Below are 20,840 nucleotides of genomic sequence, written 5' to 3'. Positions count from 1 at the left end.
AATAAATAACCATGAGGAAAGCCAGGCTCAGTGGCTCACACCTATCATCCCAGTGACTCAGGAGGCTGAGTCAGGAGGACCGCTTGAGGCCAGAAGTTTGAGGCTGAAGAATCATAAGCCATGATTGCACCACTGCCCTCCAGCCTGGGCCATAGCACAAGACCCCATCTCTCAATAGTTTTTAAAAATTAGCAGGGTTTGGTGGCATGCCTGTAGTCCCAGCTATTCAGGAGGCCGAGGCAGGAGGATTGCTTGAACTTGGGAGTTCAAGGAGGCTGCTGTGAGCCGTGATCACACACTGCACTGCAGCCTAGGTGACAGAGAGAGATCCCAACTCTAAAAAAATAAGAAGAACCACGAGGAGCCCATTGTTGTATGAGTCCCTGCTCCCCTGGGAGAAGATATTGGGGAGTGAAGAGAGCATTTCCTACAGGTGAGTGGAGTGACATTAAACCCCAGCGGGAGGCTCAGGTGAAGGGAGTGAAGCACTCAGCCTCCCGAGTAGGTCTGTGGAATGTACCTGATGTGGTTTGGCTGTGTCCCCACCCAAATCTCACCTTGAATTGTAGTTCCCATAATTCCCATGTGTTGTGGGAGGGACCTGGTGGGAGATAATTGAATCATGGAGGTGGTTCCCCTCATACTGGTAGTAAGTCTCACAAGATCTGATGTGTTTATAAAGGGTTTCCCTTTTCACTCAGCTCATTCTCTCTTCCCTGACACCATGTAAAATGTGCCTTTTGCTGTCTACCGTGATTGTGAGGCCTCCCCAGTCACATGAAACTGTGAGTCCATTATACCTCTTTCCTTTATAAATTACCCAGTCTTGGGTATGTCTTTATCAGCAGCATGAGAACAGACTAATACAGTGCTGAAATTCACAGGATGGACAGTGGTGGAGAGAGCCCACCCAGCAACCAGCTCCTTCAGCTTCTGATGTCACATCGGCAGGTGGCCAGCCCACAGCAGGAGCTCAGTAACCACGCACCGGCTCCCGCTGAGCTGGTTCTCGCTTGTCCCCACCATCCTCTTCAGCAGGCTGCCAACTCCAGCCCATGGGTAGTGGCTGCTGGACCATTATGTCGGGAGGAATGGGAGGCAAGGCAGAATCAGCTGGAGGGAGTGGCTCGATCCCTTATGCTGTCAATCATAGTCACTGGGGAGGAGTAGTCAGCTGGGGCACAGGTGTCTCTGTGCTCCCTTAGGAAGAATTCTATAGTGTCTCCCACCCACCTCGCCTGCCAGGTGGCAGGCTGACTTCACCTGGAGTACATCATTCCCCACTCAGGGCAAATGGCAATTTGCAAGTCTGTGTTCAGACAGGACCAGGAGATGGGCATCCCCACACATCAGAGCTGTCTGCCATGGTGGTCACAGCCTTACTGGGCCCCCTGGCCAGTCCTTGTTTTTTTGTTGTGCGAGAGAAAAACAGAGTGGAACACTGGTTAGTTAGCACGGGCCCTGGAGCCGGACTGCACTTATTTGTTGTGTGGCCTTAGGTAAGTCGCTTAAACTCCTTAAGCCTCTGTTTTCTCATCTGGAAAGTAGGGATAATAAAAATACCACCCACCCCCACAAGGGTTGTTATGAGAGTTAAGTGATGTGTGTAGAATGCTTAGCACTATTTAGTAAAACCTGGCTATTAATACTGACAAACAATAATATATTTGTTTTAGCAATATTCTTATAATACTTATTATTGACAAAGAAAAAAAAAGAAACCATGTCACCAAACTTCCTGTGGAAAGGCCCCCACACCAGCAGTCTGAGTGCTAGTCCTGGCTGTGGGGCCGGGGCTGGGCGTGTGGCCCCTGAGCCTCGGTTTCCTCCGTGGTAAGTGGGGATGGAGGTGCCCCGGGTGCCTGCTGTGGACCTTGAAGCTGGCCTCTCCTGCATGGGAGAAGCAGTCATTACATGGAGCTGCCGAGCCGAGTGCATTTGTGAATAAACATGCAGCCTGCTTGTTGAGAGACAGATGCAAAGTCCATCTGGAGAGGGACAAAGGCCTCCCTCCTCAGTTTTCTTTTTTTTCTTTTTTTTTTTTTTTTAGACAGTGTCTTGTTCTGTCACCAGGCTGGAGTACAGTGGCACAAACTTGTGTGGTACGAGGTTGTGTGATCCCTGACATCACTGTCTCCTAGGTCACTGGGGGTGTCCACCCCACACTGGGGAAACCCTGACCTGGGGGCACCCCCAAGCCAGTGAACCAGGGGACGGGGCTCCTTGCGAGGACCAGATGGCATTTAACGCTGATAGGCGCTATCGTGACCTCCTGGGCATGAAACAGGTACCTCCCTGGTCCTTATTCCAGAAGAGGATGCAGAAGCCCTCTGGACAGGCCTGGCTCATGTCCTCCTGCTGGAGCGGGCTGACCACAGCCCTCGGCCCTCCGCTCCCGGCATGGCCCGTCTGGAGTAGCTGGGATTACAGAGGTGCACCACCATGCCCGGCTAATTTTTGTATTTTTAGTAGAGACAGGGTTTTGCCGTGTTGGCCAGGCTGGTCTTGAACTCCTGACCTCAGGTGATTTGCCCACCTCAGCCTCCCAACGTGTTGGGATTACAGGCGTGAGCCACCATGTCCGGCCCCTCCTCAGTTTTCTTAGGTGCCCTGCGTGTGAGAAGGGACCTCTTTGCTCTCTTTCCAGGGAGCCATCAGGCAGTGTGTTCTGGTCCTCGCAGCCTCTTGCTTCCTGGGGAAGACATGCCCTCTATGAACTTCACCTTCCCCAGTGAGTATCGAGGCTTCGGTGAGGCCTCCTGGTATCCCAGCATGGGGCAGTGGTGGGCTGAGCTGTACAGACTCTCCCGGGGGCCAGGGGAACCGGCTGTGTTCCCCAGCGCCTGTCATTTTCTCACTCACGGTTTTCGTGTGTCTGAGGGAAGGCCAGGGAATCTTTGTTTGCAAGGCTAGAAGCTCCCAAGCCAATGAAGCAAAAAGGAGAACTTAGTAGAAGGGCAGGAGAGCCAGCCAGGGCACCCACAGTGAGGACAGCCACTGGGAGGGAGCTGGTTCCTCTCTCCAACCACCCAGGCTCTAGGGTGGCCTGCAACAGAGACCAAAGGTGGCAGCAGAATTGGCAACATGCGTGTGGAAGCGCTCAGGAGAGGAGGAAGGGCAGGGCCTGGGAATCTGCAGGATCTGGGGTCGACACAGCAGGAACAAGGGCACGGGGTCTCCAGACTGTCAGTTCAGGACACAGCCATTGGCCCTGGCCATTCTCCTCCCTCTGTGTAGCCGTTTGCTCAAAATTCAGTCCTAGGAGGCCCGGCATGGTGGCTCACACCTGTAATCAAAACACTTTGGGAGGCCGAGGTGGGTGGATCACTTGAGGTCGGGAGTTTGAGACCAGCCTGGCCAACGTGGTGAAATCCCATCTCTACTGAAAATACAAAAATTAGCTGGCCGTGGTGGCAGGTGCCTGTAATCCCAGCTACTCGGGAGGCTGAGGCACGAGAATCGCTTGAACCCAGGAGGCAGAGGTTGCAGTGAGCCAAGATCCCACCACTGCACTCCAGCCTGGGCAACAGAGCGAGACTCCGTCTCAAAAACGTAAATAAATAAATACATAAGTCCCAGGAGAGGGTATGCAGGGGTCACAGGACCACACCGGACAGGAGGTAGGCAGGGTAGCTTGCTGGACAGTTTCGCCAAGGCTGCTCCTAGTAGGTGGGGCGGGAGGGGCGGGGGCCGGAGAGGTGCCTCAAAGTAACTTAGGTGCTTTGTCTGCAAGTATGGGGAATGAATGGTGGGGAGAGGCTAAAGGAAAAGTCCCGGGACCCCAGCTATCAGGGCAGTTTCTGTCTCTATAGACAGCTTTCCCTGAGCCTCTGCCCCCGCCTGGATCTCGCCTTCCCCCCAGCTCACGTGCCCACCAGACTGATGGCTGAGTCACAGTGCCCGAATCTGGGAGGGAGGATCTGAATGGCCCACATGAGCCAGTTGTTTGGCACAGTCCAATCAGCTGTGGCCAATGAGGGTGGGATCATGTCGTTATGGCTCCAGAGGTCTACCCTCAGGAAAGGGGGTTTTGGGCAGTCACCCCAAATACCATCTATCATAGGATTCAAGAGCTTTCAAAGCTGGGAGGTACACTTCAAAGACCACCAGGTCCAATGTGCTCATCTTACAGATGGGAGAAGGTGAACTGGGGCTTGCTCCTCCCGGTGTGGGGTGGATGCTTTGACCAGGTTCCTAGTTGAGCCTCCAAGCAGCGGGCTCTCCCAGGGTCAAGCTCAGAGACGCTCAGACCATGAGCTGGGAGGAGGAGCCAGGCCCTGGAGCCCTTCCGCACTCTGGTGCCAGGGAGCTGCCCACCATCTGGCCTGTCCCAGCACTGCCCGTTAGGGTGACACCTGCTGGTTTCCCAAGCCGGGTCTGAGACATGGACTCCCCCAGACAGATCCAAGGGATAGGTCCTGGCCCAGTTCTCCCAGGGTCTCAGCCCCCATACATGAGTTATATGTGGGCCAATCCAGGAGCCCCACCCCATGAGGGCAGGGCTGTGTGTGTCTTGTCACTGCTGCCTGCCCCATGCCCAACTGAAAGTGAAGCCACAACAACAATGCTGAATGGGTGGACGTGGCCTCTTCGGTCCCCCACCCCCAGCTGCCCTTTGGCAATGACATGAAGTCCATCCTTAAGGTCAGCCACACGTGGAATCCAATAATCCCAGGCGACTATCTGGGCTCCAAGCCCACTAACCTCTGGTGCAGACTTAGACAATCGCTCTCACTCTCTGGGCCTCGATTTCCCTGTCTGTACAATGAGGGGCTTCAAGGTTCCGTCCAGCTGAGACAGTGTGTGCTGTAACAGTTCTAAGTTCCAGCCTGACCAACATGCGGAAACCCCGTCTCTACTAAAAATACAAAAATTAGCCGGGCATGGTGGTACGAGCCTGTAATCCCAGCTACTCAGGAGGCTGAGGCAGGAAAATCGCTTGAACCCAGGAGTCGGAGGTTGCAGTGAGCCGAGATCACACCACTGCACTCCAGCCTGGGCAACAGGGCGAGACTCTGTCTCAAAACAAACAAAAAAACAAACAAAACAGTTCTAAGTTGGGGGCCAGTCTTGAGGCATCAGAATTGACCAGGAGAGAAAGCAGGACACGCTGCCTTCTCTGGAGTCCTTTAGCGGCTCTTGTTTTTAGACTTGAATTTGGCGTAGCCTTGGTAATTAGTAAGTCCAGCGGCAACAATGGCAGCTACCACTTACTGCGCCTGGTTGTGTGCCAGGCAGGGCGCCACGTACTCCCTGTGCATCAGCTCGCTGAGCCTTTGCAGGATCCTGCGGGTTAGGCAGCAAGGCCCAGAGAGGTTGAGGAGCTGGGGACCAGGTCACACAGCTGGTGACTGGCCATAAAGGATTCAAGTCAGGCTTGTCTGAGCCCCTCTCTGTGCATGTTGGGCTCACTGTGTCATATAAAAAGCCTGAAATCGCTGAGCACGGTGGCTCACACCTGTAATCACAGCACTCTGGGAGGCCGAGGTGCGTGGATCACCTGAGGTCAGGAGTTTGAGACCAGCCTGGCCAACATGGCAAAATCCCGTCTCTACTAAAAATATGGAAATTAGGCAGGGATGGTGGCGGGCACCTATAATCCCAGCTCCTCGGGAGGCTGAGGCAGGAGAATTGCTTGAACCCGGGAGGCAGAGGTTGCAGTGAGCCAAGATCGCGCCACTGCACTCTAGCGTGGGCAACAACAGAGTGAGACTCGGTCTCAAAAAAAAAAAAAATCCCGAAATCTAGCTACAAAGAGATGTGTGCTCTGCTGTGACCCACCATGTTACTTTGCCCAGTTTTGTGGGCACCTTGCTGGGGTTGGCAGAAGGCAGAGGGGTCCTGGTGTTTGGGGCTACCAAGCGCTTGCTGTGTGGGTAAGTCAGCCTACCTTTACCAGCCCTCCACCCCCATAGCCTCTTCCTCCAAGCAGCCCTAGGAGGGCCTGAGGGGACCCCACCAGCAAGGCTCCTGAGGTTCCACAGATGGAGCCTGACAGCCCCTTCCTGGGGTCCAGCCACCAGGGGACACCTGTCATTTGCAGGTGCCCTTCATTCTCAATTGCCTCGAGACCTCATTCATTGGCTGCTGTGCCGATGGTGGTGCCTGGCTCCCGCCTGCCCTGCCTGGGGCTCCATGTTCAACCCAGGATTCTTGACTGGCCTTTGAAGACTGACCCTCTACAGGTGGTCAGACAGGACTTTGTGTGGATTCCAAGGAACAGAGAGGAAGAATGTTTCAAATTAGGCCTCATACCTGTAATCCTAGCACTCAGGCCAAGGCAGGCAGATTGCTTGAGTCCAGGAGTTCAAGACCAGCCTGGGCAACATAGCAAAACCCATCACTACTAAAAATACAGAAAATTAGCGAGGCATGGTGGCACATGCCTGTAGTCCCAGCTACTCGGGAGACTGAGGTGGGGGAATCACCCAAACCCAGGAGGTCAAAGCTGCAGTGAGCTGAGATCGTGCCACCGTACTCCAGCCTGGGCAACCAGAGTGAGACCCTGCGTCAAAAAAAAAAAAAAAAAAAAGGGCTGAGCGTGTTGGCTCACACCTGTAATCCCAGCACTTCGGGAGGCTGAGGCGGGCGGATCATCTGAGGTCAGGAGTTCAAGACCAGCCTGGCCAACATGGTGAAACCCTGTCTCTAGTAAAAATACAAAAATTAGCCGGTGGCTCACGCCTGTAATCCCAGCACTTTGGGAGGCCAAGGCGGGCGGATCACGAGGTCAGGAGATTGAGATCATCTTGGCCAACATGATGAAACCCCGTCTCTACTAAAATACAAAAAAAAAATTAGGCGTGTTGGCATGTGCCTGTAGTCCCAGCTACTCGGGAGGCTGAGGCAGGGGAATCGCTTGAACCCAGGAGGCAGAGGTTGCAGTGAGCTGAGATCGTGCCACCGCATTCCAGCTTGGTGACAGAGCGAGACTCCGTCTCAAAAAAAAAAAAAAAAAAATAAGGCATAGTGGTGCCTATAATCCCAGCTACTCAGGAGGCTGAGGCAGGAGAATCGCTTGAACCTGGGAGGTGGAGTTGCAGTGAGCCGAGATCACGCCACTGCACTCCAGCCTGGATGACAGAGAAAGACTCTGTCTCGAAAAAAAAAAAAAAGAAAAAAATAGGATGTACGAAAAGCCCCAGGTGGGCTGAGAGTTTAGAGGCCTAGGTGAAGTTCTGGAACACTCTCTAGGACTTGCAGCAAGGCAGGAGGTCTGGGACAGCCCCCTACCTCCCTGGGCTTCATTTGCAAAACAATGGTATCTGCTCCCTGGGCTCTGAAATGCACCCAACCTAGTGACCCAGCCCCTCCTCCTATTCTCCCAACAGGTGAAATATGGAGACGGGGGAGTGGAGCAGCTCCTCAGCCCCCATTCCTGTCCAGCAACAACAGCAATACCCAATTGCCTTTGCCCAGAGCTGGGTTCCAGGTCGGGGACAGGAAGTGGAAGAAGAGGCAAAAATGGGGGGCAGTCCATGGAGACTGGCCTCTCTCTAGCTCTTGACCACCCAGCTTCTCCCGCTCCTCGTGGTCCTCAGCCCTGCTCCACTGGAAGGAAATATGCTGTGATGGACTGAATATTTGTGTTCCCCTAAAATTCCTTTTTCATTCTTTTCTTTCTTTTTTTCTTTTTTTTTTTTTTTTTGAGACGGAGAGTCTCACTCTGTCACCCAGGCTGGAGTACAGTGGCACAATCTCGGCTCACTGCAATCTCTGCCTCCCAGGTTCAAGTGATTCTTCTGCCTCAGCCTCCTGAGTAGCTGGGACTACAGGTATGCACCACCGTGTCCAGCTAATTTTTTGTATTGTCAGTAGAGAAGGGGTTTCACCATGTTGGCCAGCCTGGTCTCGAACTCTTTACCTTGTGATCTGCCTGCCTCGGCCTCCCAAAGTGCTGGGATTACAGGCGTGAGCCACTGCGCCCGGCCTCTTTCTTTCTTTTTTTTTTTTTTAACATATAGAGACAGGGTCTCATTATGTTGTCCAGACTGGTCTTGAACTCCTGGGCTCAAGCTATCATCCCGCCTCTTCCTCCCAAAGTGTTGGGATTACAGGCATGAGCCACCAAACCGGCCTCCCCTAAATTCCTATGTTGAAATACTGACTCCCAAGATGATGGTATGAGGAGGTGGGGCCTTTCAGAAGTGATCAGGTCATGAGGATGGAGCTGTCACAAATGGGATTCGTGCCCTTAAAAAGAGGTCCCAGCCGGGCGCGGTGGCTCGCGCCTGTAATCCCAGCACTTTGGGAGGCTGAGGTGGGTGGATCATCTGAGGTCAGGAGTTCAAGACCAGCCTGACCAATATGGTAAAACCCTGTCTCTACTAAAAATACAAAAAATAGCCAGACGTGGTGGCATGTGCCTGTAGTCCCAGCTACTCAGGAGGCTGAGACAGGAAACTTACTTGAACCCAGGAGGCAGAGGTTGCAGTGAGTTGAGATCGTGCCACTGTACTGCAGCCTGGGTGACAGAGTGAGAGTCTGTCTCAAAAAATAAATAAGAGGCCCCAGAGAAATCCTGCCATGTGAGGTTACAGTGAGAAGATGGCCATGAGGAACAGGTCCTCACCAGACATGGAATCTGCAGACACGTTGGTCTTAGACTTCCCAGCCTCTGGAACCGTGAGTAATAAGTTTCTGTTGTTTATAAGCCACTCAGTCTATGGTATTTTGCCATAGCAGCCCACACAGACTAAGATACCTCTCAATACCAAGCTGGTGACAGGGTCTCGCCAGCCACTGGGTGCCCTTCAGAGGGCTGAGGGACAGAATGAAAATAGACTAGAGAGAAGGGAATATGTAGGTTTAAGTATCTTCCAAATGGGCTGGTGGCTTGGGGGTGACTTACGCGCCAGTGGTTACCAGCTGTCTCTGATGGTCTACAGGTCGGAGGGTGAGGTTCAGCCCTTAGCCTGGAAGGCCCTGCAACAGTTAGGCCCTTTGCCTCCTGAGTGGCCCTAGACACTCCCCTGCTTTGCCGTGTGGACAAGGCTCCCAGCAGGCCCCTCCAGAAGAGTAATGCAGCGTTGTTCATAATTCTGTCTGAATCGCCCAGTGCAAGACACTCTGGATCCCCGATGCTCAGAGCAGTTCCAAAGGGTCCAGAGAGACTCATTCCACAGAGGTAAAACGTGATTAAAAATCAATGCAGCCACCCGCTGATGGATTTTCTGAGGCCTGGACAGTAAAAAGGCAGGAGAAAGAGGCAAACTCACCGAAAAGCAGGGAGGGCAAAGGAGCCCTCTAGAATGGGAACTCTAGATGAAGCAAAGGAGCTTTTTCTCAAAAACAACAAAATCAGCCTTATCCCGGGCTCAGGCCTGGAAGGTTTGCTTCCAGCCAAAACCCAGAGTGGTATCTGGAAAGGGCTTGGTCCAGGAGACAGCACACCCAGACTCCCCAGCCAGGGCTCCTGGGTGATCCCCTTGGACCTCACTTTAGAATAAGATGGGAGGTGCCGGGTGCAGTGGCTCATGCTTGTAATCCACCACTTCAGGAGGCTGAGGCAGGCGGATCACCTGAGGTCAGGAGTTCGACACCAGCCTGGCCAACATAGTAAAACCCTGTCTCTACTAAAAATTCAAAAATTAGCCGGGCATGGTGGTGTGTGCCTGTAATCCCAGCTACTCAGGAGGCTGAGGCAGGAGAATCGCTTGAACCCAGGAGGCAGAGGTTGCAGTAAGCCGAGATCGTGCCACTGCACTCCAGCCTGGATGACAGAGCGAGACTCCATCTCAGAAAAAAAAAAAGAACAAGATGGGAGGATGAGCTAATCTAGGGGCAGTGCCAACTCAGCCCCCTCTTACTCTCTCAGTGTTGGCTTGGGGTTGGGGCCCTCGCTAATGCGTCCCACCTGGCTCCCTGCCTGCCTGCCTGCCTACAGGGCACTCTTAGGCTGCCACTGTGATGAATGAATTCCTCCGCAGATTCTCAGGAGGGACACTTTGTCTCAGTCCTCCCTGTGACAGCCCTGCCCTTCCTTCCCTAATTACCCCCTTCTCCTCTTTCAGAATTCTGCCCCAACATTATCTGGGGAGCCCCCCCAGATGCTCCAGGGAGACTGTGAAGACCCTCAGGCTCCCCGACGCCTCGTGTGCTCCTTCTGTCAGGGTGTTTGAACCAGAGCAACGCCATCTTGAATAGGGGCTGGGTAAAGTAAGGCTGAGACCTACTGGGCTGCATTCCCAGACGATTAAGGCATTCTGAGTCACAGGATGACACAGGAGGTCGGCACAAGATACAGGCCATAAAGACCTTGCTGATAAAACAGGTTGCAGTAAAGAAGCCGGTCAAAACCCACCAAAACCAAGATGGCGACGAGAGTGACCTCTGGTCGTCCCCACTGCTACGCTCCCACCAGCACCATGACAGGTTACAGATGCCATGACAATGACAGAAAGTTACCCTCTAGGATTTAAAAGGGGGAGGCATGAATAACTCCACCCCTTGTTTGGCATATCATCAAGTAATAACTATAAAAATGGGCAACCAGGCTGGGTGCGGTGGCTCACGCCTGTAATCCCAGCACTTTGGGAGGTCAAAGCAAGCGGATCAACTGAGGTCAGGAGCTCGAGACCAGCCTGGCCAACATGGTGAAACCCTGTCTCTAGTAAAAATACAAAAATTAGCTGGGCTTGGTGGCACACGCCTATAGTCCCAGCTACTGGGGAGGCTGAGGCAGGAGAATCGCTTGAACCTGGGAGGTGGAGGTTGCAGTGAGCCAAGATCACGCCACTGCACTCCAGCCTGGGCAACAGAGCAAGACTCCATCTCAAAAACAAAACAAAACAAAACAACAACAACAACAACAACAAAACCCAGCAGCCCTTGGGGCGGTTCTGTCTATGGAGTAGCCATTCTTTATTCCTTTAGCTTCTTAATAAACTTGCTTTCATTTTATGGACTCACCCCAAATTCTTTCTTGTGCAAGATCCAAGAACCCTCTCTAGGGGTCTGGATCTGGACCCCTTTCCAGTAACAATTATCTGCAAAAGCACTTTACAGCAACAGAAAACCTGACCCAAACTGGATAAAGCAAAAAGGGAACTTTTTGACTCATGAAACTTGAGTCCAGCAACAATGCCTTCAGGCAAGGCTTGATCCAGGGCTCACAGGCTATAAGAGAATCTGGTTTTCCTCTCTGCATGTCTGGCTCTGCTTCCTTCGTAGTGGAGCCGTTCCCAGGAAGGCACTCCACTTGGCTGAAGGCAGCAGCTTAGGGCTTCTATTCGGTGTTCATATCTTGCTGAAAAAGACCCACTTCTTCCCGACCCCTGACCCTGCCAATCAAGTCTTAGGAACTGGGTCTCATTGGCCCAGATGGGCCTGAAGGGGGCCATTTGTCTGTTCTTGAACCAATCAACACAAGGGGCAAGGAGGGAAGAAAAGGGGTGTGTTGATAAGCTTCAGCCAATCAAGGCCCAAGCTTAGAGCTAGGAGTGGGGGTCAGTCCCACCTAAACCACAAGCCTGAAGAATGTGAGGTCCAGTCGAGAATAGGGAAGAAAGGGCTAGGTGCAGTGGCTCACACCTGTAATCCCAGCACTTTGGGAGGCCAAGGAGGGTGGATTACTTGAGGTTAGGAGTTCAAGACCAGCCTGGGCAACATGGTGAAACCCCATCTCTACAAAAATACAAAAAAAAAAAAAATTAGCCAGGCATGGTGGTGCACACCTGTAATCCCAGCTACTCAGGAGACTGAGGTACAAGAATCACTTGAACCCTGGAGGCAGAGGTTGCAGTGAGCCGAGATTGTGCCATTGCGCTCTAGTTTGGGTGACGGAGTGAGACTCTGTCTCAAAAAATAAATAATAAAAAGGGATAAAGGCCAGAGAGGCAGCCAGGAAACGTCCCCCACAGCAATCTCTCACCACCAGCTCTAGCACATGCTGTTCCCTCTGCATGAACACCTCCCCACCACCAACCACTTTATCAAGCTAATTCATCCTACACGGGAGAGTTTGGCTAGTACCTCCTCCAGGCAGCCCTCCTTGAACACACCTAGCCAGGGCTGAGTACCTGATGCTGTGCCCCCACAGGCACCTCTCAACTCAAATAATGGTATATCTTGTCTATTTTTTAAGCAGCTTTAAAGAGATATAATTCATATACCATAAAATTTGCCTATTTATTTATTTATTTATTTATTTTTGAGACGGAGTCTGGCTCTGTCACCCAGGCTGGAGTGCAGTGGCTCACTCAGCTCATTCACCATTCTCCTGCCTCAGGCTCCCAAGTAGCTGGGACTACAGGCGCCCGGCAACAGACCCGGCTAAATTTTTTGTATTTTTAAGTAGAGACAGGGTTTCACCATGTTAGCCAGGATGGTCTTGATCTCCTGACCTCGTGATCCACCCGCCTCGGCCTCCCAAAGTACTGGGATTATAGGCATAAGCCACCGCGCCTGGCCTACAATTTGCCTATTTAACGTGTATACTTCTGGCTGAGCATGGTGGCTCATGTCTGTGATCCCAGGACTTTGGAAGGCCAAGGAGAGAGGATCACTTGACCCCAGGAGTTCGACACCAGCTTGGGCAACATAGGGAGACCTCCTATCTATAAACAATACAAACATTAGCTGGACATGGTGGCATACACCCATAGTCCTAGCTACTTGGGGAGCTGAGATGGGAAGATTGCTTGAGCCCGGAAGATGGAGGCTACAGTGGGCATTGATCGTGCCACTGCACTCCAACCTGGGTGACAGAGCAAGACCCTCTCTCGAAAAAAAAAAAAAGTGTACATTTTAGTGGCTTTTAGTCTATTCAGAGAGTTGTGCAACCATCACCACACACCACAATTTTAGAACATTTTCATCACCCCCCTAAAGAAACCTCATGCCCCGTAGCATTCACCCCCACAATCCTCATTCCCCTACCCCTAAGCAACCATGAATCCACTTGCTATAGACTTGCCTATTCTGGACATATCTAAAATTGGATTTTGTATGGAAAGTGGAAATTGGACACTGTATGGAAACAGTCACACAACCTGTGGCCTTTGTGTCTTTCTCTGAGCATTGTGTTCTCAAGTTTCCTCCATGCTGCAGTGTGGATAAGGACTTTTTTCCTTTTCACTGCTGAGTAATATCCCAATCGCATTTCATTGACCCATGTATCAGTTGACGGACAGCTGGGGTGTTTCCACTTTTTGACTATTATAATTAATGCTGCCATGGATATTTGTAGACAAGTTTTTGTATGGAGATAGGTTTTCGTTTCTTTTTTTCTTTTCTTTCTTTTTTTTTTTTTTTTTTTTTTTTTTTGAGACAGAGTCTCTCTCTCTCTTGCCCAGGCTGGAGTACAGTGGCACAATCTTGGTTCACTCCAACCTCCACCTCCCAGTTCCAGTGATTCTCCTGCCTCAGCCTCCTGGGTAGCTGGGATTACAGGTGCACACCACCATGCCTGACTAATTTTTGTATGGTTAGTAGAGATGGGGTTTCACCATACTGGCCAGGCTGATCTCGAACTCCTGACCTCAGGTGATCCGCCCACCTTGGGCTCACAAAGTGCTGGGATTATAGGCGTGAGCCACTGTGCCCAGCCTGGTTTTCATTTCTTTTGTCTCAAAAAGGAAAAAAAAGAAGGAAAAGCATTCTACCCCTTGTCTCTAGGGGTAGAATTATTGGGTCATATGGTAGCTCTACACTTACTGTCTTGAAGAACTGTCAAACTTTTCCAGGGCAGGTGCCCCCTTTTCCATTCCCACCAGCTGTGTATGTGGGTGCCAGTTTCTCCATGTCCTCACCAACACTTGTCATTTCTGTCTTTCTGATTACAGTCACCCTGGTGGGTGTGAAGTGAATCTCACTGTGATTTTCATTTACATTCCCTGGATGGCTAATGATGCTGAGCGTCTGTTCGCGTGCTGGCTGGCTGTGTACTTTCTTTGGAAAAATGGAAAAAGGACAGTTTTTTTCGAACAGTGGTTGCTGGGAAAACTCGGTATCTGCATGCAAAAGAATGAAGTTGGACCTTTGTCTTACACTATATACAAAAATAAAATAGATCGAAGCTCTAATAGAAAAGCTAAAAATAGAAAACTCTTAGAAGAAAACATAGAGGAAATCTTCGTGATATTGGATTTGCCAGTTATTTCTTGGATATCATTGGATGCTGAAAGCATAGACTACAAAAGAGAAAAAATAAATTGGACTTCATCAAAATTAAAAACTTTTGTGCATCAAAGGACGCTATAAAAAATGTGACAAGACAACCCACGGAATGAGAGAAGCTATTTGTAAACCATATATTTGAAAAAGGATTAATATTCAGAATATACAAAGAATTTCTGGGAGGCTGAGGTGAGAGGATCATTTGAGTCCAGGAGTTCCAGACCAGCCTGGGCAATATAGTGAGACCCTATCTCTACACAAAATAAAATAATTAGCCAGGTATGGTGGTGCATGCCTGTGGTCCCAGCTACTAGGGAGGCTGAGGTGGGAGGATTGCTTGAGCCCAGGATGTCGAGGCTGCCGTGAGCCTTGACTATGCCACTGACTCCAACCTGGGTGACAGAAGGAGACCTTGTCTCAAAAAAAACAAAAAACAGAAATAAGCAAAGAGAACCTCGAAGACATTATGCTAAGAGAAATAAGTCAGTCACAAAAAGGTAAATACTGTATGATTCCAGATATATGAAATCTCTATAGTAGTCAGATTCACAAAGACAGCAGAACGGTGATGGGCAAGCGGTGGGGGTAAGGAGCTGGAAGAAATGGAGAATTGTGGAATAGGCATAGAGTATCCATTTTTGCAAGATAAAGAGTTCTGGAGATCAGTGAATGTACTTAACATGACTGGACTGTACATGTAAAAGACGGGAAATTTTGGCCAGGCGCAGTGGCTCATGCCTGTAAATCCCAGCACTTTGGGAGGCTGAGGCAGGTGGATCACCTGAGGTCAGGATTTCGAGACCAGCCTGGCCAACATGGTGAAACCCCATCTCTACTAAAAATACAAAAATTAGCTGGGTGTGGTGGCGGGCGCCTGTAGTCCCAGCTACTCAGGGGGCTGAGGCAGGAGAATCACTTGAACCAGGGAGTCAGAGGTTGCAGTCAGCCAAGACTGTGCCACTGCACTCCAGCCTGGCGACAGAGCGAGACTCCATCTCAAAAAAACAAAAACATTTGAGGCCAGGAGTTTGAGACCAGCCCAGGCTGGTCTCAATAAAAAAAAAAAAAAAAAAAAAGATCTGTGTGTGGTGGCACAAGCCTGTAGTCCTGGCTACTCAGGAAACAGGAGGATGACTTGAGCCCAGGAGTTTGAGGCTGCAATGAGCTATGATCATGCCTGTGAATAGCCACTGCACTCCAGCCTGGGCAACTCTTTCATACTCTCAGTTCTGTTTTATTGATCTACATAGCTATACGTCTGCCAGTACTACACTCTCTTGATTACTGTAGCTTTGCAGTAAATTTTAAAACTGAGAAGTGGCCAGGCATGGTGGCTCACACCTGTAATCCCAGCACTTTGGGTGGGCAGATAACCTGAGGTCAGGAGTTCAAGACCAGCCTGAGCAACACGGTGAAACCTTGTCTCTACTAAAAATACAAAAATTAGCATGCCTGTAATCCCAGCTACTCGGGAGACTGAGGCAGGAATCACTTGAAGCTAGGAGGCAGAGGTTGCAGTGTACCAAGATTGTGCCACTGCACTCTAGCCTAAGCAACAGAGCAAGACTCCGTCTCAAAACAAACAAACAAACAAAAAAACCCACTGAGAAGTGAGTTCATTAACTCTGTCCTTTTTTTCCCAACATTGTTTTTGCTATTCTTGATTCCTTATATTTGCATATGAGCTTCAGCTTGTGAATTTGTGCAAAGAAGCCATCTGGGATTTTGCTAGAAATTACACTGAATTTGTAGATCAATTTGGGGAGTATTGTCATCTTAACAATATTGTCTTCCAATCCACGAATATGGGATGTCTTTCCATTTATTTAGGTTTTAATTTCTTTCAACATTTTATAGTTTTCACAGTATAAGTTTTGTAGCTGTTACATTTATTACTAAGTATTTCATTTTGTTGATGGTATTGTAAATGAAGTTCTTTTCTTTATTTTTGAACTGTTTATTTTGTATAGAAATACAATTGTTTTTTATCTTGATCTTGTACCCTCCTGGCTCACTTCTGTAATCTCTATACTTAACACAGAGGGCAAGCACTTTCGAAGAGTCACCCTGGCTAACACATGGCAAATAGGCTGGAAGCGGGGCAAGACTAGAAGCCTGGCTGCCAGCTGGCAGGTGGCTGGTGCTGTCATCTAGATGAGGGTGGCTGGCCTGGGCAGTAGCAGTGGGGACCGAAGTGGGTGGACTTTAACCACAGGACGGGGTGGGGGTGGGGAGAGGGAAGCATCCAGGATAAGGGCCAGGTGGGTTTTTGTTTTGTTTTGTTTTGTTTTAACCAGGATCAGGGAGGAGCGTGGTCATTTCATTTTGAAAGTATGGCTTTTGATGTCTCTTTAAAACAGCCCAGGAAGGCGTGGTGGTTCACACCTGTAATCCCAGCGCCCCGAGGCAGGTGGATCACTTGAGGTCAGAGTTCGAGACCAGCTTGGCCAACATGGTGAAACCGTGTCTCTACTAAAAATACAAAAAATTAGCTGGGTGTGGTGGCGGGTGCCTGTAATCCCAGCTACTCGGGAGGCTGAGGCAGGAGAATCGCTTGAACCCAGGAGGTGGGGGTTGCAGTGAGCCAAGATCGTGCCACTGCACTCCAGCCTGGGTGACAAAGCGAGACTCCGTCTCAAAAAAAAAAAAAAAAAAAAAAAAAGGACCAGCCCAGGAGGCAGCAGAATGAGCCATGAGGATCTCAGGACAGCGTTAGGCTGAAATAAACTCCTGGGTGTCAGCCAGGGAGTGGGAGAGACTGGGCAGGGCTAGAGCTGGGACAGAGCCCAGGACCCGACACTAAAGGGTAGACACGAGCTGACCGTGGCCACACAGCTGAAGGACCTGGAAAACCACAGGAAGTTGAATTTGGTCGACGGAGCATATGAGGAGTGGTGGCGGGCATCTCAAGAGGGGAAGACTCTCCCACTGTGTTATAAGCTGCTAAAGTCAAGGAAGACAATAGTCAAGCCCCCAGAGGTTGCGAGTCACTCTAGCCAGACCGTGGCAGGGTGGAAACCAGCCCACAGTGCGCCGGGGCGTCTGGAAGATGAAGCAGCGGAACTCAGAGAGCTCTGAAGGGGGACGGGGGCCTGCAGCTGTTTTTTTTGTTAGCTGCTTTTTGTTCATGGGAAAACTTGAACAAGCTTGATTGCTTCATGGAAGGAGCCAGGTGACATGGAAAGGGGAAAGATGCAGAGTAAGGGGACCGAGGGACAGCGAGATGGCTGCAAAGGTGGAGGGAAGAAGTGAGTGGGAACGGAGGAGACGTGGTGCTGCCGCTCAGCTGTGCCCCATGGCTTTGCCCCGTGGCTTGCTCCCCTCCTCAGTACTGTTCTCTCCCGTGTGGCACAGCCAGGCTTACTCATCATTTCATCTGCAGCCCTGCCCATACCAGCGTGTGCTGAACGATGTTGAACCTTAGGCGACGGAGGCCGACTGGAACCAGGGCTCTGAGTGACAGAGACGCAGTTATGTCTAAGGACATACGCTAGAATGGCTGATGCAGGGCGCAAGCTCGATTCCTGCAGATGTGTGTTAATGAGCAGCTCCCTCATTTTTGCAAAGGTCAGCATTCCTTTGGCAAACTGGGAAGGAGCAGTTTAAGGTGCAGCTCCCAAGTGGGTCACACCGACCCCCCAACATCCAGTTCCCAACTGCTGAGCGTGCTTCTCTTCGTGGGAGTGGGCGGGCCAGTGCCGAGGGGCTCAGGACGGATTCTCAGAAACGCCCCACCATGCAGGTGGCTTACGGGAGGGCAAAGCCAATGCCAGCCTCCAGGAAGTCTGCGCTTTCTTTCCTTAGGGTAAGCACTTACCCAGCCTCCTTGTTACTTAGCCTGAGGGAGTCTACGGCTACCAATCTGCCGACCTGACAGATTCCTGGTGAAGGGCAGGCCACCCAAAGGCAGCTTCGAAAATTAAGGAGCCTGGGTGGGGGCAGGGAGGATCTACCCAGGGTCCTGGGGCCTGGGAGCAGTAGGCTCTTCTCAGAAACACATACTGGGGCCAATATCTGCTCTGGATTTAGCCTGCACTGCCTGTTTTATCAGAACAAGCAGAAATCCCCCGGCCTCTTGAAGATCAGGACCCAATTATTTCTCTGACTTCAAGAGTTTGCCTACCAGACTAGAGTTGTTGACCGTTATGTTTTTCCAGCTGCCAATCAGAGTGGACCAGCTGGAGATGACCAATCACATGACAAGACTCCTGCACAAAGGGAAGAAATGAGATGCTGCAGCTGAGGAGGGCGGCCAACCTGGGAGGCATCTGGCTCCCCTGACAATGCCTGCCGATCGCCAAGCTGGCTTCCAGACCTCCTGGGACAGAACTGTTCCTCCCAGGACGCTGGTGTAGGTTCAAGTCCAGTTGATATTTACTAAGCAACTGCAATGCCCAGGCCTGTTCCAGTGCTGCAGAGAGTAAGTGCTTATGGGTGCTTATATTCAGAGTAAGTCAATACACCAGCTTCGTATGACCTGCGTCTTCGGGGCCAGCAGGGCAGGTTGGTCTCCTCAGCCTCACACTGGAGCTCCTGGCTGGCTGGTGTCTGCGGTCAGGACCCTAGTGATGGGAGGCTCAGCAAACAGAGGAGGCAGAGGGGCTGTTCTGAAATGACCTTGAAACGACCTATCACCCTCAGGGGTGGTCTTACTGGATGAAGTCCAGCCCGCCATAGGCACTGAAGGGCTCTCATTTGCTGAGCCCTTGCTTTGCGCCAGGCGGCTCTTCCTCTGCCGACACTGATCAAAGGAGGGTGCGAGGCTCAGCTACTGAAGCCGGGGTCAGACTTGTGGGCGTGGGCTTTTCTAATGCCAAACCCACGGGCGCCAAGGCTTCTCAAGCTCATCCTGTCAGCCCCTGAATTTCTAACTGGCAAAGCTCCACGCTAGCGGTGGGGGAAGAAGGAGCCAGAGAGACCTGAACTGCAAGGGGACCCCATGTGGGATGGTTCAGGGGAGCAGCAGGACAGCCAGGCCCCTGCCAGCACCTGCCTGCGGTCTCTCACCTGGTCCCGACTGCAATGCCTCCTGGCAGGACAGAGCCGCCGACTTCTGTCCCGTAAGAGCTGTGTGCAAGGTGGGCCCTTGTCCGTGTTGCCAGCTGAAGACTGACCCAAGACTCGGGAAGAGAACTGGGTTGGATCTGTTCTCAGTGTGGTCCAGATCTGCCATGTTGGCACCAGCTGGGAGTGTGTTAGCAATGCCGACTCTCAGGCCCCCCAGGAACTCTGTCGGGGATTCGGGTGCTTGCTGTTTGAGGACCACTGGATTAGATATCAGCAAGGTCCTTCCTGAGTCTTTTCTCAGCTGTCCCCTTCTCGAGTTGCCTTGGCATCTCTCATCCTGGGTTCTGAATCCTGGACTCCCTACTCTCAGGACACCCCATGCCTCCTACTCATGCTTTGCGGCACAGGCAAGGTCTCCAGAAAGAGCTGCGGGTGGGGCATGGCCACTAACTGGGAAACCTTGGCCACGGACAGGGATTCTCTCTCCTTCTCATTCTGAAATCCTATGATCTGGTGAACTGAGGTTCATGCTCACTTTTTTTTTTTTTTTTTTAAGACAGAGTCTCACTCTGTCACCCAGGCTGAAGTGCAGTGGTAGGATCTTGGTTCACTGCCAACCTCCACCTCTGGGGTTCAAGCAATTCTCCTGCCTCAGCCTCCCGAGGAGCTGGGACTACAGGAACGCACCACCACATCCGGCTAATTTTTGTAGCTTTTAGTACAGACAGGGTTTTGCCATATTGCTCAGGCTGGTCTTGAACTCTTGACCTCAGGTGATCCGCCTGCCTCGGCCTCCCAAAGTGTTGGGATTACAGGCGTGAGCCACCGCACCTGGCCCATGCTCACATTTTTATAAGCACAACGGCAGTAACCAACAGAGCCATTTTTCTGAGGCCTTCCTGTGCCCAGCACTGGGCCAAGCCCTTGACTTAATCCTTATTATCCCAACAAGGTTGGAGTCAGCAGGCCTGGGTTCTTGTCTCAGCTCTGACACTTACTAGCTGGGGGAAAAAGGGGAAGGATGTGGGTGGGCAGTGGCAGAACCTTCTTTAGGCCCCAGTTTTTGCGTTTTGAAGGCAGGGCTTTGGAGGGATGAATCACAAATCAGTATGCTGTGTGAAAGCAGCCAGACACGAAAGAGGGCACCCGGCGCAGTTTCATTCACATGAAGTTCTAGATGAGGCAAATGAGACTACGCTGGAATCAGAGCCGGGGCTGTGGTAGTTTCAGAAAGGGGGCAGTTTGGACCGGGAAGGGGCAAAAGGGGGCTGCGTGGGGTGACGGGCACGTTTCATCTTGATTGTGGTGGAGGCCACAGGACTGTACATCCATTTGTCAAAACGCAACAAACGGTACATTTAAAAAGGATGGATTCTACTGTAGGTAAAATATGCCTCAGTTTAAAACATTCTTAGTAAAATATGGGCTTTGGAACTGAATGACTTCTAAAAATGCTTTGAGTCTAAAATCCTGGATTTCTCTGCTTCCAACATGGGGTAACCCAGAGCTATTGCTAACCGATGCAGAAGGTGCATTTGCGCCTGTCACAGTGCGGGCTCTGCGCCAGGCCTGCCATCTCCCCTCAAATGGCAGCAGTGCCCCGACACTGGTTCACAAGACATCGCCCGCCTCCAGCGTAAGCAGGACAGCAGTAACCTACAACCGGTTTTCAGTTATCTGGGTCTTAATTGCGCTGCCACAGATCGGCTAAGATG

At 51.2% G+C, this 20,840-nt stretch overlaps 1 long non-coding RNA gene across 1 annotated transcript, besides 3 other annotated features; it reads left to right on the top strand.

Annotated features, from left to right (window-relative positions):
* Positions 9,541-10,379: an enhancer, noted in NCBI's record as "H3K27ac-H3K4me1 hESC enhancer chr9:132913067-132913905 (GRCh37/hg19 assembly coordinates)". NCBI's record gives its function as "activates a minimal SCP1, AML or CMV promoter by ChIP-STARR-seq in primed H9 embryonic stem cells {active_cell/tissue: H9 hESC(primed)}" and the evidence as "EXISTENCE:reporter gene assay evidence [ECO:0000049][PMID:30033119]".
* On the top strand, positions 16,948-20,557 carry GPRACR (GPR107 adjacent cis regulating lncRNA). Its single transcript, NR_135124.1, has 2 exons — positions 16,948-17,923; positions 18,276-20,557. It is a non-coding gene; the product is annotated as a GPR107 adjacent cis regulating lncRNA (long non-coding RNA).
* Positions 16,990-17,763: an enhancer, noted in NCBI's record as "H3K4me1 hESC enhancer chr9:132905683-132906456 (GRCh37/hg19 assembly coordinates)". NCBI's record gives its function as "activates a minimal SCP1, AML or CMV promoter by ChIP-STARR-seq in naive H9 embryonic stem cells {active_cell/tissue: H9 hESC(naive)}" and the evidence as "EXISTENCE:reporter gene assay evidence [ECO:0000049][PMID:30033119]".
* Positions 18,538-19,311: an enhancer, noted in NCBI's record as "H3K4me1 hESC enhancer chr9:132904135-132904908 (GRCh37/hg19 assembly coordinates)". NCBI's record gives its function as "activates a minimal SCP1, AML or CMV promoter by ChIP-STARR-seq in primed H9 embryonic stem cells {active_cell/tissue: H9 hESC(primed)}" and the evidence as "EXISTENCE:reporter gene assay evidence [ECO:0000049][PMID:30033119]".
* Positions 20,558-20,840: the final 283 nt, after the last annotated feature.

Source organism: Homo sapiens, chromosome 9 (assembly GCF_000001405.40).
Source record: "Homo sapiens chromosome 9, GRCh38.p14 Primary Assembly".
Classification (NCBI taxonomy): Eukaryota; Metazoa; Chordata; class Mammalia; order Primates; family Hominidae; genus Homo; species Homo sapiens.
This window is presented reverse-complemented; position numbering and strand designations above follow the sequence as displayed.